Here is a 24,408-nt window from a genome sequence, read left to right on the forward strand (position 1 = left end):
CAGCTCTGCTTGAGTGAGAAGATGACTCTGGGGTCCCCCTTGAGAACATATGTGCCTTTTAAAACTATGTTTTTGTTATTGAAGAACAAATGTTAACTAAATCACATCAGCATTAGCTGCACTCTCACAGAGCTTGGTTTTATGCTAATACTGGCCATCTATCTCTTTAGGTGGGTCTTTTGCAAAGAAACAAACTAGAAAACAACTATATTCTCAAGGTGGTAAAAAGCCTTTTTAGGTATTTCCTTCCCAGAATCTCTAGGCTTAGGCTTTCTCTTCTCTTTTTAGCTTTTGAGTGAAAAAGGTAAGGAGCAGCCGTCATTCTCCTTTCTTATTGGTGGGAAAGTGATTGTTGCATATTAATAGGGGTTGTGGCACCTCCGTGGTAATGTTTCACTAAATGGAACAGCATATTCTCTTTCTAGGATGATTAATTTTGTGTGGCCTGACAGTGGTGTGTGGGACTAAATGTTCTGTCCTTTCTAACTGCCTGATCTCTGAGCCATGGGAGATTGAGTTTCTCCTTCACAATCCACCAAAGTTTGCATGTGAACAAAACAGGGGATCTCTGTACGCAACAGGAGGGTGATGTGCTCAACTGTGAAGTGTGGTCCTACTTGAAGTTGTCTGATTCAATGAGATGCAATAAATTAACATACCACATGTATTGGGGGGAGGTGAAGAGGTACCAGATGACAGTCTCCTGAGGTCTCCCTCTCTTGGGCAGTATATGGGAGGAATGGGCTGACAAAATAGCTAAGAGATGTCATCTCTTCACAAAACACCTCCCCATCACATTACTTTCTTTTGTGCAGACTCCTCCTGCCCCCAGTGATGAATCCAGAGGAAGCAAAAGAACTGGTTGAGCAGAAGACACCCTTCTAACATAGCAAATGATCTTTCCCCCCATTCTTTATTGAATTTATTTTTTTTCTTTAGTTGATGTGAGCTGCTTTTGACTATGCTGGTTTTTTTTTTGTTTGTTGTTGTTGTTGTTGTTGTTGTTGTTGAGATGAGGTCTCTGTCTGTCTCCTAGGCTGGAGTGCCGTGGCACGATCTTGGCTCACTGCAACCTCTGCCTCCCTGGGTTCAAGAGATTCTCCTTCCTCAACCTCCAGAGTAGCTGGGATTACAGACGTGTGTCACCACGCCCAGCTAATTTTTGTATTTTTAGTAGAGACGGGGTTTCACCACGTTGGCCAGGCTGGTCTCAAACTCCCAACCTCAGGTGATCCACCTGTCTCGGCCTCCAAAAGTGCTGGGATTACACGCGTGAGCCACTGCACCCAGCCAACTATGCTGATTTTTAAAAAACTTCATTGTACCTTAACAGCATTTACAAAAATCAGATTTATCTGATTGAAGTATAATTCACATACAATAAAATCCACCAACTTTAATAGCACAATTCAGTGCATTTTGACAAAATATGCAGTCATGTAGCCTCCACCATGATGAAGGTATAAAGCTTCTCCATCATTGCAAAGTTTCTCGATGCCCCTCTGCAGTGAGTGTCTCAACCAGCCCCAGCCCCTAGCAACCACTGATCTACTTTCTGTCACTACATTTGTGCCCTTTCTAGAATTTTATATAAGTGGAATCATGTAGTATGTTGCCTTTTGTGTCTGGCTTCTTTTTCGTAGTATAATAATGTTGAGATTCATCCATGCTGTTGCATTGATCAGTAGTTCCTTCTTATTTATTGCTAAGGAGTATACCATCTGCTATAGCCTGAATGTGTCCCCCAAAATTCATATGTTGAAACTTAGTTACCATGTGATCATATTAAGAGGTGAGGCCTTAAGGAGGTGATTGAGTTTAGAGGGCAAAGACCACATAAATGGAATTATAGACTTTATAAACGGACTTGAGGGAACTAGTTAGTCCCTTTCCTGCCCTTCTGTCGTGTCTGCCATCTGAGGACACAGCATTCCTCCCCTCTGGTGGGCACAGCAAGGCGCCATCTTGGAAGTAGAGAACAGGGCCCTCACCAGACACTGAACCTGCTGGTGCTTTGATCCTGGACTTCCCAGCCTCTAGAACTAAGAGAAAAAAATTTCTACTTTTTATAAATTACCAGATCTATGGCATTTTGTTATAGCAGTACAAACAGATTACGAGACCATTGTACGGATATACCCTAATTGGATTATCCGTTCTTCTAATGATAGATATTTTGCTCTAATAATTCTCAAGATATTTTTGGGTTCAAATAAAACAACTATTTGAAAAGGATGGAGACAAATTGAGGATACTAATTTAAACAATTGCATTTTGGCAGAACAAGCACATAAGCCTCTCACCCAAAGTTTGCAAGCAAATGTGTTTGTCTTAGTGGCATTGCAGGTAAATCACATGGTATGTTGTTTTAACATCATTAGCAACCTACTCCAAAACGGGACACTCAAATAACATCTAAAATTGGTGAGTTAAGCTAGAAATATAACATAAGCAAAAACTGAGACATTTTGATTTTTTAATATATTGTTACTTAAGATGAATAATAATACCAAACTTTTGAGAAAGATCTCCAATCCACATGGATTGTATTACTTAATGTTTGTTTGATATCAAATTCCCATGGTGGTTTGCTCTTACTAAGAAAAAGCACTCTACACGATACATTTCTTTCTAGGAGGATACAGAATGTAATTTCATGTTTTAGTTTAAAAGAGGTATTTTCCCTGATTGATATCTCTCACATTGTATCGAAAGACAAATAAAAGACTTACAAGGCATAAGGGATGTAGGAAAGACTAGTTTTAACTTTTGATCTTAAAGTTCCAAAAGATATGTTAGGCAGAAATAATACAGTTAACTTCAAATAGCAATGGCAGTCTTTATGTCAATTGACATTAAATCCAAGACAGAATAACTTTCCTTATGTGTTTACCACATGCCAGACACTGTTCTGAGAGTTTTAGGAGTATCAACTTATTTAAACCGTACAATAACTTAGAAGCTTTGGTCCTATCATTATTATAATTCCCATTTTACAGATGACAGAACAAAGAAGCTCAGAAACCTGCCCAAGCTCACATATTGGAGCCATGATTCAATGTAGCATTCCAGCCTCTTTGGCTGTTTGCTTAGCCATGGTACCATTGCTGCTTCTAAATAAGCCTTCATAGGAAATATTATTGGATGCCAATGGTATTAGTCTGTTCTCAGGCTACTAATAAAGACATACCTGAGACTGGGTAATTTATAAAGGAAAGAGGTTTAATGGACTTACAGCTCCACATGGCTGGGGAGACCTCACAATCATGGCAGATGACGAAGGAAGAGCAAAGGGATGTCTTACATGGCAGCAGGCAAGAGAGCATATGCAGTGGAACTCCCTTTTATAAAACCATCAAATCTCGTGAGACTTATTCACTATCATGAGAACAGCATGGGAAAAACATGCCCCTATGATTCAATTACCTCCTACTGGGTCCCTCCCATGACACGTGGGGATTATGGGAGCTACAGTTCAAGATGAGATTTGGGTGGGGACAGAGCCAAACCGTATCACCAATGAATTGTTTTAATTGTAATTTTTGTAAGTAGGAAAAGTATAGATAAAAAGAAACCAAACAGTCAACTAGATTTCTATTTACATATTTTTCCAATGACTTTTCTATACCTCTATACATATATGTATACACCAATAGAGATCAATAGAAATGTGCATCAAAAGACATGGTCAAATAATTCTCTCTGAAGGACAAGAAAGGGTCACCCAGAATTTCACTTTTATACCCCTTAAAACTGCACTGAAAATTATAACTTAGCTAATAACCTTAGGAAAACTGCATGAGGACAACAATAAGCTTAAAAGGGGTAATCACTCTAAAGCAAGTTTCACAGGTTGAAGATGTCAATGAATAACAGGCAAAATTGCTACCTCGGGATTAACTGGGACTCTTTACAAACTCTCCAGCAGTAGCTGAGGATGTTGACAGCAAGACTGCCAGGTGTGAGGGCGAGGTACAAATAACCCATGACTCAGAAATGTGTGTTTCTTTTCCCTCGTCATGTGCAGGTGTTCACACGGCAACTGCTGTCTCAGACTGTTGTCCTACGTTTCAAGAGAAACCTATTTCCCTCCTTTTGGGAACATCTTTGTAATATACATACATATATATGAAATATGCATATATATATGTATATCTCAAATATGTGCATACATGTATGTGAGACATACACATATATGAGATATACCTATGCATATGTGTATCTCATATATGTTAACACACATGCATAATATATAAAAAACATAAATATATTACAGGTGAGAGAGGAAAGAAAAGAGAAAGTGAGATGGAGGATGGAGAGAAGGATAGAGAAGAGGCTTTCTCAATCCCAACAATTTTTCCCTATTCATTCCTTGCCCTTGCACTCCATATTAAACATAAGAAGATAATTGAAAACAAACAACCCGATTAAAAATTGGGACAAAATGAGAATGTAAACTGGCGTAGTCATTATGGGAAATAGTATGGAAGTTCCTAAGAAAGTTAAAAAATAAAACTACTATATTAGTCTGTTTTTCACACTGCTGATAAAGACATATCTGAGACTAGGAAGAAAAAGAGGTTGAATTGGACTTACAGATCCATATGGCTGGGGAGGCCTCAGAATCATGGCGGGAGGTGAAAGGTACTTCTTACATGGTGGTGGCAAGAGAAAATGAGGATGATGCAAAAGTGGAAACCTCCGATAAAACCATCAGATCTCATGAGACTTATTCACTACCATGAAAACAGTATGGGGGAAACTGCCCCCATGATTAAAATTATCTCCCACTGGGTCCCTCCCACAACACATGGGAATTATGGGAGTACAATTAAAAATGAGATTTGGGTGGGGACACAGAGCAAAACCATATCAACTACCATATGATTCAGCAATCCACTTCTGGGTATATCTAAAAAAGTGAAAGAAGGGTCTCAAAGTGGTAGCTGTAGCCCCAGGTTCATTGCAGCATTATTCACAATAGCCAAGATATGGGAATGACCTATGTGTCCATCAGTGGATGAATGGAAAAAGGAAATATATATATGGACACACACATATACATATACATGTGTGTAAATACACACACACAACAGAATAGTTATTCAATCATACAAAAGAAGGAAATATTGGCATTTGAAACAACATGGATGAACCTGGAGGACTTTAGGATAAGTGAAATAAGCTAGACACAGAAAGACAAATACTATATGATCTCACTTTTATGTGGAATCTAAAAAAGTTGAATTCATAGAAGCAGAGAGTAAAATGGTGATTATCAGGGGCTAAGGTCCAGGGAAAATTTTGGTCAAAAGGTACATACTTTCACTCATAAGATGAATAAGTTGCATGGTAAATATAAGTTAATAATACTGTTTTGCTTACTTGAAATTTGCTAAGAGTAGATTGTAAGGGTCCTCACCACACCCTACAACAAAAACAAAAAAGTAGCTATGTATGGTGGTGGATGTGTTGAATATATATATACACATACACACACACACACACACCATGGAATACTACTCAACCATAAAAATAACAAAATAATGTCTTTTGCAGCAACGTGGATGGAACTGGAGGCCATTATCCTAAGTGAAGCAACTTAAGGACAGAAACCAAATACTGCATGTTCTCACTTGAAAGTGGGAGCTAAGCCATGTGTATACCGGGGCGTAGGGTAGCATAATGGATATTGGAGACTCCAAAGAAGGGAGGGTGGGAGTGGAATGAGGGTGAAAGTTACTTATTGGGTACAATGTATACTACTCAGGTGACAGGTACATTAAAAGCCCAGACTTTGCCACTATATAATCACATCCATGTAACCAAAAACCACTTGTACCCTAAAGCTATGATTTTTTTTTAAAAGAACCTTCTACAGAGCCCCCAATAGTTCAGGTTCTCAGTCCCCAACTTTAGGGTATTCTGAATAGCAGCTACGGGATGAGACTAGGGCATGGAATTTTTAATACATTCCCTAGGAAATTCTAAAAGCTTTGGAACCAATGCTGTAATATACCTCCTTCATTACTCAGGAAAGGAAACTGAAGCCCAGAATCTTACATGTGAAAGAAAACAACCATAACCATAATATGATAATGATAGGAGCACTTATTATCAGTCAGGCACTGTAATATGTGCTTTCATTATATCAGATGCTTATGCTATAAGTACTGTCATTATTCCCACTGTACAGATGAGGAGCCAGAGGTTCAGAGAGGTTATGTAACTTGCTCAAGGTCACACAGCTAGTACGTGGCAAAGCTAGCAATCTGATTGCAGAATTCTTACCCTCAACTACTGGGCTATACTACCTCTTCTTACATAATTTATATGTATCCGTCACATAGTAGAGCCTGACCACCCTGGAAGCATTGAATATACAGTCTTATACTCCAGGATAAAGTCAAATAGGTAAGTATATGCCTCAGTTTTAACACTGCCCTCATGTGGACACAATTCTGTTGTCTTTTATAATTTATCAGCTTCTGAGGAATTCCTAAGTGCTGATAATGGCAGAGGCTGTGCACATTTGGGGAAAAGGAATATATGAAATATCGCTGGAGACTATGTTAAATGTTTAATAAACAACCTCCTTTAATCCTGATAGCAATTCTGTGAGGTAGGTACTTTTATCCCCATTTTACAGATGAGAAAACTGAGGCTGAGAAAAGCAGATGCCTTGTTCCAGGTCACACAGCCAGTAATCTGCAGGGCAGAGATTGCAACCTAGGTCTGCCAAGCTTCATGTTTTCACTCTATTGCTTTTATCTTATCTGCTGTAACTCCTCAGTCTCCTCCAGCTGTCACACACACTCAGAAGAGATCTGTTGTTATGGCTGAATCATATTGCCCCCAAAGATGCTGAAGTCCTAACCCCCTGTGAATGTGACCTTATTTGGAAACAGGATCTTTGCAGATGATCAAGTTAAGATGAGGTTATTAGGGTGGGCCCTAATCCAACATGACTGCTTCCATATGATGAAGGGGAAATTTAGACATGCATAGAGGGAAGATGACATGAAGATGCAGGGAGGAGATGGCCATATCTACAAGCCAATGAGAGGGGCGTGGAACACGTTCTCCCTGATGACCCGCAGAAGGAACCAATTCTGCTGACAACTTTATTTTGAACTTTTGGCCTTCAGCACTGTGAGACAATACATTTCTGTTGCTTAAGCCACCAGGGCATGGTAGCCCAAGGAACAAACGCAAGTATTTTCAAACTGAGCCTGCGGCTTCGACCCTTTCATTTTTTTTTTTTTTTCACCGTAAACAGCATCTGCAGACCCCCCTTCCCCACGAGAGGGTAGATGCCCTTCCCAGAGTAGCACTGACCTTCCTCTAAGTGCTGAACTGTGTGGGTCGACACCACCACTGGAACCCCGTTCAGAGCAGACGCGTTGTCCTGAAACAGAGCACGTGGCATTGTGAGACAAATCTTCGGGGGAAAATCAGAAGAACTCAAGGAAGAACCTCTAAGATACAAGGGTGTCTCACAAAAAATTAAACTTAACTTAAAGGCTGTGTTTCTAGAAACTCCCCAGTTTTCTATCATGCCTTGGAGAACCAAAATAACTCACTCCAAGAGTGGACTCCAGTTATTATGAGAGCACACCATGGTGCCTCAGCTCAGGGGACCCCACACTCACAGGAAGCTCTGACCCGTCGCACGGAGGGGACCCCAGGCTCAAATGGGCATTTGTCAAGTCAGGGCTGGAGCACGAATTTAATATGCTGATTCTGACACCTTTTAGGTTATCCTCGCTCCACTGTCTTGCACACACAGACACAATCAATCAGCAGCCAGGACTTCAGTCAACACACTTGTCAAATACAGGAAGTTCTTTTTTTTTTTTTTTTTTTTCTGCTGATGCCCCTGTAATGGTTACTACACTACCTGGTAAGTCTCTGCTTCTGGTTCATTCTCTTGGTCTTCAACTCTTTGGGGAACACTCATTTGGTTACCCATTGCTCCTATAATGGAGAGAAAGAGAGGAAGAGAGAAAGAAATCAAAACCAAACGAAGCTACATGTGCTACTAAGGTGCAGAGGCCTGACAAGCCGCCCATGGCTGTATTATCATCAGCTGAGATCAGAACAAATTGCTTGTATTAGTCCGTTCTCACACTGCTATGAAGAAATACCCGAGACTGGGTAATTTATAAAGAAAAGAGGTTGAATTGACTCATGGTTCCGCATGGCTGGGGAGACCGCAGGAAACTTACAATCGTGGCAGAAGACACCTCTCCACAGGACACCAGAAGAATGAGTGCGAGCTGGGGAAATGCCAGATGCTTATAAAACCATCAGATCTCGCGAGACTCACTCAGTATCACGAGAACAGCGTGGAGGAACCCGCCCCCATGATCCAATTACCTCCACCTGGTCCCATCCTTGACGTGGGGATTATGAGGATTACAATTCAAGGTAAGATTTTACGTAGAGACACAACCAAACTATATCATTGCTTATATTTATTTTGGGAAATAGAAAGGAGATTTTGGACTCATGTATTCAACAGAATTAAAGTTAAATGCAGTCATAATTTTCAGTTGCATTTCATTGCTAGGGGAAAATATTTATCATCATGAAAAGTGTATTCAGTGTAGATAGCATTTTTTTCTCTTTTAGTTAAAGTCACAGCTATTAGGATTTTAGAATGAGGGTAATTGAAATAATAATATTTTTTTCTGATTCTCAAACTAAATTAATTCCCCTATTAAAACCTTTTACACTACGGCCTTTTTTTTTTCATAGCATTTAGCAGGGCTTGTAATTATATACTTACTTGGGTATATATTCATGCTTTCACTGATTTAGCACATATGGTCATGTGTCACTTAAGGGCGAGAAAATGTTCTGAGAAATGCATCATTAGATGATTTCATGGTTGTATGAACATCATAGATAGTATAGCCTACTACACTCCTAGGCTGTATGGTATAACCTATCGTTCCTAGGCCACTAACTTGCACAGCACGCAACCACATTGAACACTCTGGGAAATTGTGACACACTGGGAAGTATTTGTGTACCTAAACATATCGAAACAGAAAAAGTCCAGTAAATACATAGTATTATAATGTCATGTGACCACTAAGTATATGTGGTCCATCATTGACTAAGGTATCATTATGCAGTGTATGACTGTGTCTATTGAGCACAGCTCTGCACCTGTTGCTGGGCTGGGCACTAGGGTTACAGCTGTAAATTAAACAGGCAAGGCCCTCTGACTTCATGGAGCTGAAGTATGGTGCACAGGGAGAGAGTTAACATAGGAACAATAAATCCACAAACGAGGTTGTTTCTGATAGTTCAAGGCAGCATGGCACAGTGGTTATGACCACAGACTCTAGAGCAAGACTGCCTGGGCATGAATCCTCTCTCTGCCCCTTGTAGCTGTGTGTCCTTGGGAGAGTTAATTAGCCTCTCTGTGCCTCATAAGACTGCTATAAGGACCCAATGAGTTAATGCTTGTGACGTGGTTAGAACAATGTCTAGCTCATGTTAAGCAAAACATATCTGCTTATTAAACAAAAATGCATAGGGTTCTAAGTTATGAATAAAAGTAATTTTTTTTTGAGACGGAGTCTCTCTCTGTTGCCCAGGATGGAGTGCAGTGGTGCAATCTCGGCTCACTGCAACCTCCGCCTTCTGGGTTTAAGCAATTCTCCTGCCTCAGCCTCCTGAGTAGCTGGGATAACAGGTGCGTGGCACAACACCAGACTATTTTTTTTTTTTTTTGTATTTTTAGTAGAGATGGGTTTTCACCATGTTGGCCAGACTGGTCTCGAGTGCCTGGCCTCATGTGATCCACCCGCCTTGGCCTCCCAAAGTGTTGGGATTACAGGCATGAGCCACTGCGCCTGGTCGAATAAAAGTAATTAATAACATTACGTGAGATGGGATCATATGGGAGATGGCAGGTTGTGGCACTGCTGGGTAGGATGGTTCTGAAATGACTGTTAATGTGGTTATTGTCCCATAGGTGAAGGGCAAAGTTGAATATTTAATTTATGTCTCCCTTCCACAAGAAATTGTAAGCACCCTGACGTCAAAGGCAGTGTCTACCTTCACCCAATTTTGTATCTCCTAATCTTAGCAGTGTGTTTGCATTTACTGGGAGCTTAATTATTGTTAGTCAATGGAGGGAATAACGATTGATAGCATCTCTCACATATGAGGCACAGACCTAGGTACATGACCACATCATCACCAAACCTCTGAAGAGCTTCGTTATAATAATGTATGATATATAATAATAATGATGATAATAGCAAATCATTACTTAGCATGTTCTCAATTCCAAGCTCTAATTTTGGAGTGCTTCACCTGTATTGTCTCATGTAGTCCTATAGCACTCCTGTGAGATAGAGGTATCATGATTTCATTCTTCATATGAGGTAGCCGAAACTCGAGGGGGTTAAATCATTTTCCAAAGGTCACCCAGTTAATGAGCAAGATTCAAACACAGTCTGGCTGTGCTCCTAACCACCGGAATGTTCTGCATATTACTAGCTTCCCTTAAAAAGGAGGAATGGAACCTCCAAGACCCACCAAGGGCAAACATCCAGTGAGGAATTGACTCCTAGTATATCTGATCCCTACACAAGGACTCTTGCAGCCACTCCAAAGGCCTGCTGTCTTGCCACCTAAAGTTCTTTTGCACATGTAATTCCAATGTAGCCCATCTCCAAAGACCTAGCTTCTGGCTTATCTGCTCTAGTGGCTCTCGGAATAAAAATTAGGACTTTTGATTTCTGGCTGAAAGGAGTCAATGAGTCACCAGGGATTCTTGTGGATCTCTCGCCATTGGTGTGAGTTTTTATTCCCTGGTAGTAGACGCATTGAGCAATTAGATATTGAGGAGGCCAAAAAAAGGGTCATGGATCTCACCATGTGTTCTCTTGCAGGAATTTAATACATAACCAAATCTGGGGATTTTGTATGTCTTCTGATCATACCACATAATAAAGCTGAGCACTGTTAAAACATGTAGGACACTTGTTGTTTTGTGCTATTTTCTATTTATAAAATCCGTGACTCACACACTTGCATCAGATCATCGCTTCTGTCTGTTAATGGGACATTATGAATAATATAATATTGAATCCTCAAGACCAGGGTTGGCAAAGAACAGCGGTGGCTGGATTCAGCTCACTGCCTGTTTTAGTAGGCCAGTGAGCTAAAAATGAGTTTTAAATTTATAAATGGTTGGAAAAAAATTAGAAGAATCATAGAATGTGACACATGAAAATTATATGAAAGTCAAATTTTGGCATCCATAAATAAAGTTTTGCTGGAAGATAGTCATGCCCTTTTATTTATATATTGTCTATGATGGCTTTCATGCTATAATGGCAGAACTGAGTAGTTGCAACAGACACCTATGGCCTGCAAAGCCTAAGATATTTACTATCTGGCTCTTTACAGAAAGTTTACCAGGATTTGAGCCTACTGTGTATAAAAACAATGACAACAACTCTAAAAAATCATAGAAATGATAGAGTAATAACAATAACAACATTTGGTGAGTGCTTACCATCTGTTGAGAAACTTCTAGGAGCTTTATTTGCAGTAAAACTAATTTGCTCTTTGCAGCAATTCAACAAGACAGAGGTATTATTATTTCAATTTTGCTGGTGTGGAAACTGAGGCACGCAGGTTAAATGTCTCAGTCAAGGATACGCGCAAACACATACGTTCATATATACACATGCAAGAATATATACACACAAAGTATCTCTATCTAAATTCAGCTTTTAACAAGTTTTAAAATTATTTTAACAGTAGGATTACAAGCTTTATTTTAAAGCTCTTACTATTTAATGTAAATTCAATCCTAACAAAGCTACTTTGAATCAACACTTGAGGTTATGAAAAACCTTGGTGCTGGAAGACGCATGGTGTACAGAAGTAGGAGAGAAGATTTTTCTTCCCACAGAGTTGGGGTTACATTATTCTGATCATTGCACACCCTAAGTAGCCTCTCGGCCACTTCAAGGTGAAGGGCCCTGAAAGAAGGAAAATCTAATGGCGTGTCTTTTTCAGTGATAACCTGGATTCAGATATTGTCACTCTCCACCAGCAGATATAATGCATGTGTCGTGAAATTGCTCCTGCCTGTCCATCAACCTTTTAAAGAACAGGATTCATCTGGGTGGGACAAAAGCAAAAGGTTACTGCCATCTATTGGCTGATGTCAATATTAGCAGAAATGAATTCAGCCTACAGGACTAGGTCCAAACAACTGGGAAGGCTGAAAGAAGCATTTTGATGTTTTGCAATGAAGCCTTCTGTTCACAGTTGGCAAGAAGATGGCAACTCCTTCAGTGCCCCAAAGGTCCTGGAACTCGTAATAATGATAACCATATATGACTTGTATGGAGAGCTTGCCGTATGCCAGCCCAGTGCTGAAGCTCTATGTAGACATCAGTGTAGCACATAGGATAGGAATGTGGGCTCTGGAGTTTGGAATCCCTGAGCATCACTGAGCCTCGCTGGGCCTCAGTTTCCTCATCTGTAAAAATGGGGATAATTATAGCCTCCATCTCAAGGGGCTGGTATGGAGTCAAACCAGTGAATATAAGCAAAGTGCCCTGAACAGGGCCTGGCACATAAAGAGGACTGCACAAGAGTTAGCATGAGTAGGACTCTCACGGGTATGATCCTTGCTCTTTGAAGCCAGTTTCTCCCACAGGTGCCCGGTAGTGAGACTCTACCGAGGAATCCAGCAACATTTCTGATTCCTGTGATCCTCTCACCGAAAAGTCAATTTGGGGCCCTGGAATTTGTATTTTTAGCAAATGCCCCAGTGATTCTCATGATCAGACACCTATAGAAAATAGTGTGATGGTGACCATCTTCAAGCTTTTTCCAGGAGTGAGGATGCTCTAGGACACAGGACTCTTATGTTAAAATTGGAAAACCCTGGGCAAACCAGAATGACTTGGGTGGAGACTTTTTTTTAAATCCCCGTTTAATAGATGGGAAAACTGAGGCTCAAGGCAGTTCAGACAGTAATTCTTGTCTGTAATAGTTTTCTCCCATTTCTCAAAAAGGAGAAAAATAAATCAGATAGAGTTTTTCATGATAAACGTACAATTGAAAGAGCTAACTTTCATTTTTGAAAAAGAAAAAGTTTGAATGGGGTGTTAAAATGCCCTTTCTTTCATGAACTGATTATATGAGTGTTTTGTCTTTATGACCTTATTTTACATTAAACATACGAAGCTATGGTGGGTGGAGGGGTGTTGTTTTTGAAATTAGACTTGTGTTTGAGGGTTTGGCACTTTGCCACTGGGGGTTGATTGTGGAGGTTCAGATGAGAAAGCCCCTTCACTTCCCCGCCTCCTGCCTGTGTTATGGGGGCCCATGCCCAGACTGGGCTGCATGTGAGAACCTCCCACAGAGTTCTGAGATCCCCATGCCCAGGCCCCTGCCAAACTGATGACAGCAGATTCTCTGGGGTGGGGCTGGGCATCGGGGTACTTTCAAGATCTCTAGGTGATTTCCATGGCTGAGAGCCCCTGTTTTGGATATTTCTGGGGTGAGTGAGTGAGTGTCTCCTGGGGTCAGAACTCTCCTGGCTGCTGCCTACCCTGACCTAGACAACCAAACCCACGGATTCTCAGACGGAGGAATAGCTCAGGCTTCGGAGTCCACAGACCACCATCACCCAGGCACCTGAATACACTCACAACCCTTCTAGGGGCACTGCTTTGCTGACGCACTGTTTCGTGAGCTTGCAAATCAAGAGAACTGTCCTGGGCCTCCAGCTTCCCTTCCCCCAGAACTGGCGGGCAGGGCAGGCTTTCCAGCTGGTTATTCAGAAGCAAGCCCAGATGCCCCACCGGAGGTGGGTGGAGGCTGCCCTCCGCAGTCTCGCTCTCCTGCATCTCTGGGGTTCCCCTCTCTCCTCTTGAGAACAAGAGATCTGGAGTGAGACAGGCATCCGTAAAATCCCACGATCGTGAGGCTTTGGGCAAAGCACTTGACCCTTCTGAAAGTATCTTTCTTGTGGAAAATGACAGTATTCATAATGGTGGCAATAATAAACACATTTAGAGTGTTTTCTCTGTGCTGAGCAGTTCTGATTTGCATATATTTGCCTCTCTTGGTCCTCCCAACAACTCTCTGAGTTAGGTACTTTTATTTTCCCAGTTGTCTTATGAGAAGCCGGAGCACAGAGAGGTTGAGTGGCATGTCCTGATACATCGTGGTACCGTGCGAAGGGGTAAATGTGATGGGAAAGTGCCTGGCAGGGCGAGCACCTAGTAGCTATTAGTGATATAGATGTCCCAAACTCAACTCATGATGGTTCGACTGACAATATTTCAACTTTATGATGAGTATCTATCTATCATCTATCTATCTATCTATCTATCTATCTATCTATCTATCTATCTATCTATCATCTACTTTATCTATCTATCTCACACACACTATATATATAACATATTTACAATGTTTAGGGTATTTTATTTTGGTACCAATTTTCCAGGACTATATATCTATATTTCATATTTTGGATATCTTGTCCTATTCCTCGATGACTTACATTGCTTTGCTAAACGTTTTCTCCTTGGAAATATGCTGTTCTTTGTTTCTCCCTCACAATAAGTGGAGCACAGCGTTTCTGGAGTCAGGAGCGATTTTGGCCCCGAAGGGGCATTTGGAAATGCCTGCATGCAGTTTTGATAGTCACGGTTCAGCTTTGGGGGGCGTGCACTGGTATCCGGTGGGTAGAGGCTGGGGACGCTGCTACATACCCTGCAATGCCAAGGACCGCCCCCTTCCCCCAGCGAAGAATTGTCTGCTTTGCTGAGGGTCGCTAGTGCTGATATTGAGGGGCCCTGCTCTAGTGCCTGGACTTGGGGATGTTCTCCTCGTGTTTGTAGCCAGGTGTCACCTAGGGATCTGCATTTCTGAAAAGCACGTGAGTAAATTCGTCTGTGGTGGTGAAATAGCGCAAGCCCTCTGCCTGGGCTCCCCTCTGGCTCACCCTGGCCATATGCATAAGCCCTGGCTCCGTGTCTGAGAAGTGAGGGGTGGAGGGAAGGACCATAATAGATTCCTTGCGTGGAGCTCCTGTGAAGATTAGAAGGGTGTGGCCCATGTGTTGTATAACTGGGTGGCTGGTGCACAGCAGCTGAGGAATAGAGATAAGCTGTTAGTATAAGCAGTAAATAAAATGGACCATACATTAGCAGTAGTAATACCTAATATTTTTGTAGCGCCTACCTTATGCCAGCCATTGCTCTGAATGCTTCTCTGTGTTAACTCACAGCTTCCTTATCAGAACCCGATGAGGCAGGTATTTTTTTTCTTTTTTTTTTTTTGAGGCGAAGTCTGGCTCTGTCGCCCAGGCTGGAGTGCAGTGGCGCCATTTCGGCTCACTGCAAGCTCCGTCTCCCGGGTTCACACCATTCTCCTGCCTCAGTCTCCCGAGTAGCTGGGACTACAGGCGCCTGCCACCACGCCCGGCTAATTTTTTGTATTTTTGGTAGAGACGGGGTTTCCCCGTGTTAGCCAGGATGGTCTCGATCTCCTGACCTCGTGATCCGCCCGCCTTGGCCTCCCAAAGTGCTGGGATTACAGGCGTGAGCCACCGGGCCCGGCCGAGGCAGGTATTTTTATTGTCCCCATTTTACAGATGCAGAACCTGAGCCCAGGGAACTTAAACTCCTCACTTAAGATCATGCTATGGATTGAAATGTGTCCTTCCAAAATTCGTGTTGGATTCGTGTTGAAGCCCTAACGTGCAATATGACTGCATTTGGAAATGTGGCCTCTAAGGAATCAAGGCTAAATGAAATCAGAAGGGTGGACCTTGATCTGATAGAATTAGTGTCATTATAAAAAGAGACACCAAAGAGCTCTCTCTGTCTCTCTCTCAACCGTGTGAGGACACAGCAAGAAGGCAGCTGTTGGCTAGCCAGAAAGAGTGGTCTCACCAGAAATGCATCGGCCAGAACCTTGATCTTGGACTTCCAGCCTCCAGAACTATGAGAAAACAAAAATGACTGTTGTTTAAGCCACCTAGTCTGTGGTGTTTTGGTTACCACAGCCCAAGCTGACTAATACAGATCATCTTCTAGTAAGTGGGAGAATGAGGACTTAACCCTCGCAAACTCAAGTCCAGAGTTTAGACTTTTAACTTTTCTATTTTCATACTTTCTACTGTCTCTTCTGCTGTATAAGTGATGTTATAGTTTTATGAAATATTTATATGTAATATAATAGAACATGGAATAGAAAATATTTCCTGCATATTCATTCTTGCAATGAGAAAATTATAACTAGGCAAGGAATATATATGGTACAATCTAAAGTGAGGATTAGGCCGGGCGCTGTGGCTCATGCCTGTAATCCCAGCAGTTTGGGAGGCTGAGGTGGGTGGATCACTTGAGGTCAGGTGTTTGAGACCATCCTGGCCAACATGGCGCAACCCTGTCTCTACTAAAAATACAAAAATTAGCCAGATGTGGAGGCACAATGCCTGTAATCCCAGCTACTTGGGAGGCTGAGGCAGGAGAATCGCTTGAACCCAGGAAGCGGAGGTTGCAGTGAGCCGAGATCACACCGCTGCACTCCAGCCTGAGCGACAGAATGAAACTCTCTCAATAAGTAAATAAATAAATCAAATAAAGTGAGGATTGAACAATTGAAGGGTCACTGATAATCACTGTAAGGATTTAGCGCCAGGGCTTGGCAGTACTCAGGTGAGTAAACGTTAGTTATTGCTAATATTATTCATTTATCTTATTATTGTTATAATTGAGTTAGTTCTGTGTTCTGATCCATGAGTGAATTGGCCTCCTGGAAGCTGCCCTCAAATCCCTCCTCTTTTACACAGTGATTGATGGTCCATGTCGCCTCCTTGTAGTTACAGATTAATAATAGGCCCTCCTCCTGGAAACAGGCCAAACGCCAAACCCCATGCAAGCTGGCCTGGAGAAAGCACTTCTGAAACTTCATCACCAGCAGGCAGCTAGACGACTGTTGAATGGGAGGGGGGGTGGTTTTGAAGGGTGGAATGGTGACAGAATTAGTCACCAAGTAAACAAGCAACACCTTCGATCAATGCAATGGAATGTAGGTAACCCAGGGGCCCTCCTCACTGCTCAGCTGAGGGTGACGCCAACATGGCCAGGCTGGCACACCCAGCAGAACCAGCCCTCTGCCCCCAACATCAGTAAAGACCTTGCAGGAGGAAAGAACAACCCCGCTTTGCCTGCCCCACAGTCCTGCAGCTCCATGTGTGTGCCCGCACAGTGCTAGGAACACGGCAGCTATTATCAGGAGTGCCAGGTACAGTGCTACAGGTTGCCTCCTGTACAAGGGGACACAGGGAACTGAAATCCAGTCCTCACTGAACTGCCCAAGCCCTGATTCCTGGTATGGGACTTTGTGGGTCCAGGGGCAGGGGTGCCTTGATCAAAATCACCTTGGATGTTTTAGGGCTGCTTGGTGATTGATGTTTTGCTTTCGGAGTACTTAATTATGTTTGCACAAACGGATGGTAATCCTAAAAATCTTAGAGCTCGCTCTCATAGTCTTATTATTGCACCAAACATTGTTAAGTGCATGATAATCGCAGGTAATTTTAATTGGAGGCTTACTATGTGCCAGGCAGCACCAGGGTGAGCATAGCAGGACACAAAATATAGGAAGGCAACCATCTCTGGTGCAGAATCGGCAGCAGAGAGTGAGCGCCTCCCTGCATTTTATCCCCCAGGTGCTCACTGGCTTCACCCTTGCCCTGACCCTGGTGCCAGGCACTTCACACACATTGTCTCCTTTTCCCTTGCAGAGTCCCATTATTCCCTGATTGCACAGATAAAGAAACCAAGGCTGAGCAATGCCATCCCCTCATCTCACGAACGTCACCTCCATGAGGGTAGGCACCTTACTAGTCCTACTTGCCCAAGAGTAGCAGTCAGAAAGCTACGGGGAGGCACACCTGGGGTTTGAACCTGGGTCCACGTGACTCAGGCACTCAAATCCTGAACTGCTTCAGGGCAGGGCACTTGGCTTGAAGAGAAGCTGCAGACACAGAGACAATCAAGTCACATCTAATACTCCAGCAGGACAGATGAGCCTGCAAGGTGCAAAGGTACCCCCGCCCCCAACCCAAAGCCTTTTTCAATTCCTCTCCCTCCACATCTCTTGTCATGGTAAAGCAGGCAGAATCCATGGGCTTTAACGGGCCCATTGCTTTTCCCAAAGCTCATGCCTTTTTCCTAAAAACAAAACCCTTCTGGGTTCCAGAACTCTTTGGAAAAAAAGAATCTTCTGTGATTTGGGACATTGGTTTGTTCCCCCACCCTCACTTAAATGAGAAACTACTTTAGCATGCCCCGCCCCGTCTGTTGTCTTTATTTAGGAGGAAGCACCCTCTACATACCCTGAGTATATACACCCAGGGCCTGAAGCTGCTGTGATCAGCTCAGGATCCCCAGGAGGCTGAGGCGGATCAGGCCCTGGACTCCGGGGGAACAATGTAAGGGACACCAAAAAGCTCAGCCATGGAGATGAATAGTATTTTAACATGAAATTTGTGAAAATCAAAATTACCGCTGTTCCTGATCTTATCTTTCTGTAACATGTTCATAGTTTGTTCATCACGGGTGTCTTGCCATTAATTCTGACTTTTAAAAATGTTGTGTTAACATACCGTTTATCTCCATGACTGAGTTTTTTGGCATCCCTTACATTTCGTGCCCAAGGTGAGAGTCTCACTGGCTGCACCCTCATCCCAGGCCCGACTGGACTCCAGTTCCACAGCATCCTTTCCATGAGACCTGGAACCAGATGCAGCTCCCTCTTCACCCAGCTTCATGTTCCTAGTTGTAAAATGGAGACGATGGTAACAGCGAAAACAAGAACCACAGCTAAGAGTTACTAAGTGCACAGGTATTTACGGGCAGTAGAGTCCTCTCAGCCCTTTGATCTCAGTACTGTTATTAGGTTCACTTTACAGATGAGGAAACTGAGGCCCAGAGGGCTGAGGGAACCTGCTCCAGGGCACCCAGCCAGCCCAGGGTGGAGCTGGGGCTGGCATCTGGCGGTGTGGCTGCAGCGCACCCGCATTCTAATCGCAATGACTCTTCCAGGCAGGAAACTGGTTCAGAGGGAGATGTAAACAGCAGGGGTCCTGAAGCCAGGATTTGAATCAGCAGCTGCCTCATAGGGTGGTCTTGAGCGTTAAATAAGATTCACAAAAGGCACTCCACAAGTCCTTTTTCTTGTCCTCCCACTTCTTTAGGCAATGCCTGAGGTGAAGGCTCAGATTCCACTCGGCTATGGGGCATTCTTGCCCTGACGGATCCCCAAATCACACAGCCTATCCCTCCATCCAGTGACTTCTCCCCATGTCCTGTGCTTGAAATGACCCTCAATAGTTCCACCAAATAGGAGTTATTTATGTGGCTATGCGCCTAACACTGACCACATTGTCATTTGCTCCTTGTAAAACTAAAAACTTTGAGATGAGTGCTATCTTTGGGTCCATTTCACAGATAGTGGAACTGAGGCTTACACATATCCAAGGCCACACAGTGAACAGAAGGCAGAGCTGGGATCAAACTTGACCCTGTCTGACCCCTGGCCTCTATATGACACCGTCTACCACAAACAGCAAACCCTCCAGCCATGCCTAAAGGATCTGAAAGCAGTTACCTGCTGAGCCCCTGTGGGAGTATCTTCAGTCCCCTCGTGTCACCCGGAGCTGCTCCTGCACAGGGTCCTGGGTCTCCAGTGCGTGCTGCCCAGTGCCTGGCTGTCGGTGGAGCCTGGCTCCCTGCACTTTGCTTCCTTGTGCAGAGCCTGCTGGCTGAATACACAGAGCAGGGCAAACACAAGCCTGGGTGGAGTCCTCCCTTCTCCCCGGACCATCCTGCAGAAACAGGTTCTCTTCCTGATGTGGGGCTGCCCTCCCAACTCCAATAAAAACTGAGCACCTGACTCCTCTCGCATTAATGCCTCCCTGGCACCCCAAGTATTCTACCCAGTGCCCCTCACCTACTGAGGCTGCCGGGTTGACCTGGGGAAGCAGTTTCCTTCCCCAGTAACCGTAGGTCATGGTCAGAGCAGGGAAAACACGTTCTGTGAGATTTTGTAGTTCTGTCTGCTGACTTCAGAACACCACCTCCACCACCACCTAACCACCTAATTGGAAGGAAATAGCTTCTCATCCACTCAACTACCCCTAGTCATGTAAACCTTATTCCCAAAGGGGTTTGGACACCAGAAATCAGGTAACCTGAGGGTGGTTTATTGCTCTGGAGACATACCATGATGTTGGAAAGGGCATTCTTTTTCTTTGCAGGCCAGAAATTCGACAGGCTATGCAATTTATTTAATTCAAGCAAGGATGTTGTTTAAAGTGTCTTACAAGGACATATACAATAGATTATGAGAGCATGAAATAACATGTAACAAAAGAAGATTGAAGAACAAAATTTGGAACATCAAATGAGAACAGGATCAAAAATAAATGCTCTTGTTGATTTACAGACTTGCTATGAAGGGTTTGCAGATATGGCTTTGAGCTTCCTAACAGCCAATGCAAGAAAGGAAACTTGATAAGTTACACTACTTAGTGCTCTGGAGAAGACATTCAAGAGAATTGCGACCAATAATTATTGTGGTTTTATTCAACAGTATACTCAGCTTAACCCCTATCATGAATACTTGTCAAGCACCAGGCTATATATATAAGCCAGAGTTTAAAGAGGTGAGTAAAAGATGCTGGGTCTCTACCCTTCTTGCACTCAGTGTCATTGGACATAGAATCCTGTAAATATAAACATAGAATTACAGGGTGTGATTCTCATTATAAAAGAAAAGCCAAGGCAGCTAAGGGAGAGAAATAGAGAGAGCTGGGGAAGGCCTCTTTCAGAAATCAACATTTAAGAAAAAAAATACTATTTAAATAAATGCTGAATACACAACCAGGCACACCGTAATTAGGGTTGTAAAGTCGATTCCAGCTCAGCACTGTACATGTCAATCTGGAATGTAGTAAACCCAATTATTAAGCAGCTGCCATGCACACGCTCTGTGCTGACCCAAGCCTGGAGGCTCAGGAGCTTGAGCTCTGGCCCTGGGTTGAGACAGACAAGGGCTCGGATCTTGATTCTTACTGATCGGCTGTGGAATTATGAGCAAGCTACTGTACTTCCCTAAGTCTCTGTCAGCCCCCTCAGCTGTGTGCTCCTTTGTGTTTATTTTGCATCTATTCTTGTATCCCCAACTCCTGGCACCCTGCAAAACGAGGATGGGGATCCCTCTATGATAGAGTAGGTACTCTGCAACTCCTGGCTGATTGGACTTGTTCATTCTTTTTTTTTTTTTTTTTAAGACGGAGTCTTGCTTTGTCATCCAGACTGGAGTGCAGTGGTGTTATCTCGGCTCACTGCAACCTCTGCCTCCCAGGTTCAAGCAATTCTGTTGCCTCAGCCTCCTAAGTAGCTGGGACTACAGGTGTGCACCACCATGCCTGGCTAATTTTTGTATTTTTAGTAGAGGTGGGGTTTCTCCATGTTGGCCAGGCTGGTCTGGAACTCCTGACCTCAAGTGATCCACCCGCCTCAGTCTCCCAAAGTGCTGGGATTATAGGCGTGAGCTAACACTCCCCATTGTCTTGCTCTCTTTTAAATTATACATGGCAGTAACTGCCATTTGGATGGCATTAGTCTTTGCAAAGCCTTTTGTGTTTATCCGTCCATTTCATTTATGTCCACAGTGAAATTAAGATCTTTTGCTCCCATTTTACAGAAGAAAAACATAAGGTTTAGGGATATGAGTGATTTAGGAGATTAAGAAAAATCATTCAGGTGGGGGCACTCAGCAGTGTGTCTGGCAAAACGTAGACCATCACCAAGCATCAGCTGGTGTAGTCAAGGGTGTTGATGAAGGATCTGGCAAACTGTAGACCATCACCAAGGATCAGCTGGTGTAGTCAGGAGTGGTGATGAAGGGTCTGGCAAACTGTAGACCATCACCAAAGATCAGCTGGTGTAGTCAGGAGTGGTGATGAAGGATCTGGCAAACTGTAGATCATCACCAAGGATCAGCTGGTGTAGTCAGGAGTGGTGATGAAGGGTCTGGCAAACTGTAGACCATCATCAAGCATCAGCTGGTGTAGTCAGGAGTGGTGATGAAGGATCTGGCAAACTGTAGATCATCACCAAGGATCAGCTGGTGTAGTCAGGAGTGGTGATGAAGGGTCTGGCAAACTGTAGACCATCACCAAGCATCAGCTGGTGTAGTCAGGAGTGGTGATGAAGGATCTGGCAAACTGTAGATCATTACCAAGGATCAGCTGGTGTAGTCAGGAGTGGTGATGAAGGGTCTGGCAAACTGTAGACCATCACCAAGCATCAGCTGGTGTAGTCAGGAGTGGTGATGAAGGGTCTGGCAAACTGTAGACCATCACCAAGCATCAGCTGGTGTAGTCAGGAGTGGTGATGAAGGGTCTGGCAAACTGTAGACCATCACCAAGCATCAGCTGGTGTAGTCAGGAGTGGTGATGAGGCAGGACCGGCTACATAATCTGCTGAACCCAGTGCAAAACAAAAACGATGAGCCCTTTGTTCTAAAAGCAGGGAAAAGTACCGTTAAAGGTATGAAACATAAAGCTGTTTTCTCTCCTTCCTGGTCTCTTTCTCTACCTGTCATGTATTTTACTTATTATTTGAAGTCATTCTAAGGGAAGAAAAAATAAAAATGTAAGTGATCAGCGTGAGTTTTGCCATCCGTCTTTAGATCAAGCCATGCTGGTTTGAAATGCAATGAACTCGAGGGCAGAATCACCAAAATCATACGACTTGTATTTTGTAGTTAGTTACGGGGCCCCCGTAGTCTGTTCTCACTAAAACAGTGTAAACGCTGCATAGAAGTCATCATTCAACTGTTTTTACTCTACCTCTGGATACTCACCCATTCTACTAATGCTCTCTATCTTCAGTTTATTGATGAATAAGGAAAAATCAAAAGAAAAAGAAACTCTAAGCTGCCCTATATTTCTGTCTTGCTATGTTATCATTTTCAGCACAAGTGGTTGGCCCTTACAGGGAGGTAACCTGGGTAAGAAAGGCTAGGATAGGATTCTTTTGTTGTTTGTGTTTCTTAGAATGTGCTGCCTTTTTTCTGTATTGAAGATAATTTCTGATTTGCGTGGAAAGCCTGGACTCTTGGGGTGTCAGTGCCTCCACATACTCAATTGCAGCTGTAACTCACATGTGTTTTACTTGCTTTGAGGCTTACTGAATAGTCATGAACTCACTGGCATTCTCTGCTCATGGGCATCATGGATGTTATATGTGAATAGGTGGCAATGAACAGTAGACTTGCATATTGCTTGTATCTCATGACTATGCTTCATTGTCTCATCAGATTTTACTTACTCAACCCAAGTTCAAAGATAACACTACAACTGACCCTTGAACCACAAGGGTTTGAACTGCATGAGTCCACTTAGACATGGATTTTTTCCCTTCTTCTGCCACCCCTGAGACAACAGGACCAACCCCTCTTCTTCCTCCTCTTCCTCAGCCTATGCAATGTGAAGATGACAAGGAAGAAAACCTTTATGATGATCCATGTCTACTTAATGAATAGTAAATATATTTTCTCTTCCTTATGATGTTTCTTAGAATGCGTTGTCTTTTTAATGTTCTTAATACCATTTTCTTTTCTCTAGCTTACTTTATTGTAAGAATGCAATATACAAATGTAATACATATAACATAGAAAACGTGTTAATACATAAAACATAGAAAACATGTTTATGTTATTAGTAAGGATTCTGGTCAACAGTAGCTTATGAGTAGTTAAGTTTCTGCAAAGTCAGAAGTTATACTTGTATTTTCAACTGCACAGGATTGATGCCCCTAATCCCCGTGATGTTCAAGGGTCAGCTGTGTTAAGATTTTCAATATGGCAACTGTAGAGCAATAAACCAAGCTCAGGGCCCTGGGTGGAGGTAGCAACAAGTCTTCAAAAGTGCAAACTTCTTGGTGGAAGAATTTACTTCCCGGTGTCGACAAAGCAGGGAGTTCACTAAGAGTAAAGTTTCTCCTTGCTACACAGACTTCAGGTGGTGCTCACCATCATGCTCCCAACTTGGTTTGCCTCTTAATCTTCTCTCTTTACGATCTCCACCCCTCTTCAAATATTGACAAGCACATGTGGCTGTCATCTCCTGTTATCAAACTGCTTTCCTGAAAATCTGGATAGAGCTGGTTTTTGAATCAAAAAGAGTCATTGGAAAACTGAAATTGGAAATCTCCCCAGGACCCTCTTTCAGACCTGCCCCTGCCTCTCTGCAAATATTCCGTCCTCCACCCAGGCTTCTCGCTCATGCTAAGCCATGTTGGCTGTGTTTTTGATCACTGA

General features: G+C 43.0%; 1 protein-coding gene and 1 non-coding gene across 20 annotated transcripts in view, besides 1 other annotated feature; both read right to left on the minus strand.

Annotated features, from left to right (window-relative positions):
* BCAS1 (brain enriched myelin associated protein 1) overlaps positions 1-19,848 on the minus strand; it is a 127,054-nt gene extending 107,206 nt beyond the window's left edge. For 14 of the 19 annotated variants that reach the window (NM_001366297.2, XM_017028111.3, NM_001366295.2 and 11 more), the window contains exons 1-3: positions 19,687-19,848; positions 7,901-7,977; positions 7,339-7,408 (exon numbers count right to left, since the gene is read on the minus strand). In NM_001366297.2, coding sequence (NP_001353226.1) covers positions 7,339-7,408; positions 7,901-7,972 — 142 coding nt within the window. In that variant the 5' untranslated portion in view covers positions 7,973-7,977; positions 19,687-19,848. Of the gene's footprint in view, positions 1-7,338; positions 7,409-7,900; positions 7,978-8,228; positions 8,275-19,686 lie in introns of those variants that run through there. The other 5 variants (XM_047440569.1, NM_001323347.2, XM_047440567.1 and 2 more) reach the window with 1 other exon arrangement.
* Positions 17,662-17,739, minus strand: MIR4756 (microRNA 4756). Its single transcript, NR_039913.1, has one exon. It is a non-coding gene; the product is annotated as a microRNA 4756 (primary transcript).
* Positions 18,567-19,441: an enhancer, noted in NCBI's record as "H3K27ac-H3K4me1 hESC enhancer chr20:52685852-52686726 (GRCh37/hg19 assembly coordinates)". NCBI's record gives its function as "activates a minimal SCP1, AML or CMV promoter by ChIP-STARR-seq in primed H9 embryonic stem cells {active_cell/tissue: H9 hESC(primed)}" and the evidence as "EXISTENCE:reporter gene assay evidence [ECO:0000049][PMID:30033119]".
* Positions 19,849-24,408: the final 4,560 nt, after the last annotated feature.

This window comes from Homo sapiens, chromosome 20 (assembly GCF_000001405.40).
Source record: "Homo sapiens chromosome 20, GRCh38.p14 Primary Assembly".
Lineage (NCBI taxonomy): Eukaryota > Metazoa > Chordata > Mammalia > Primates > Hominidae > Homo > Homo sapiens.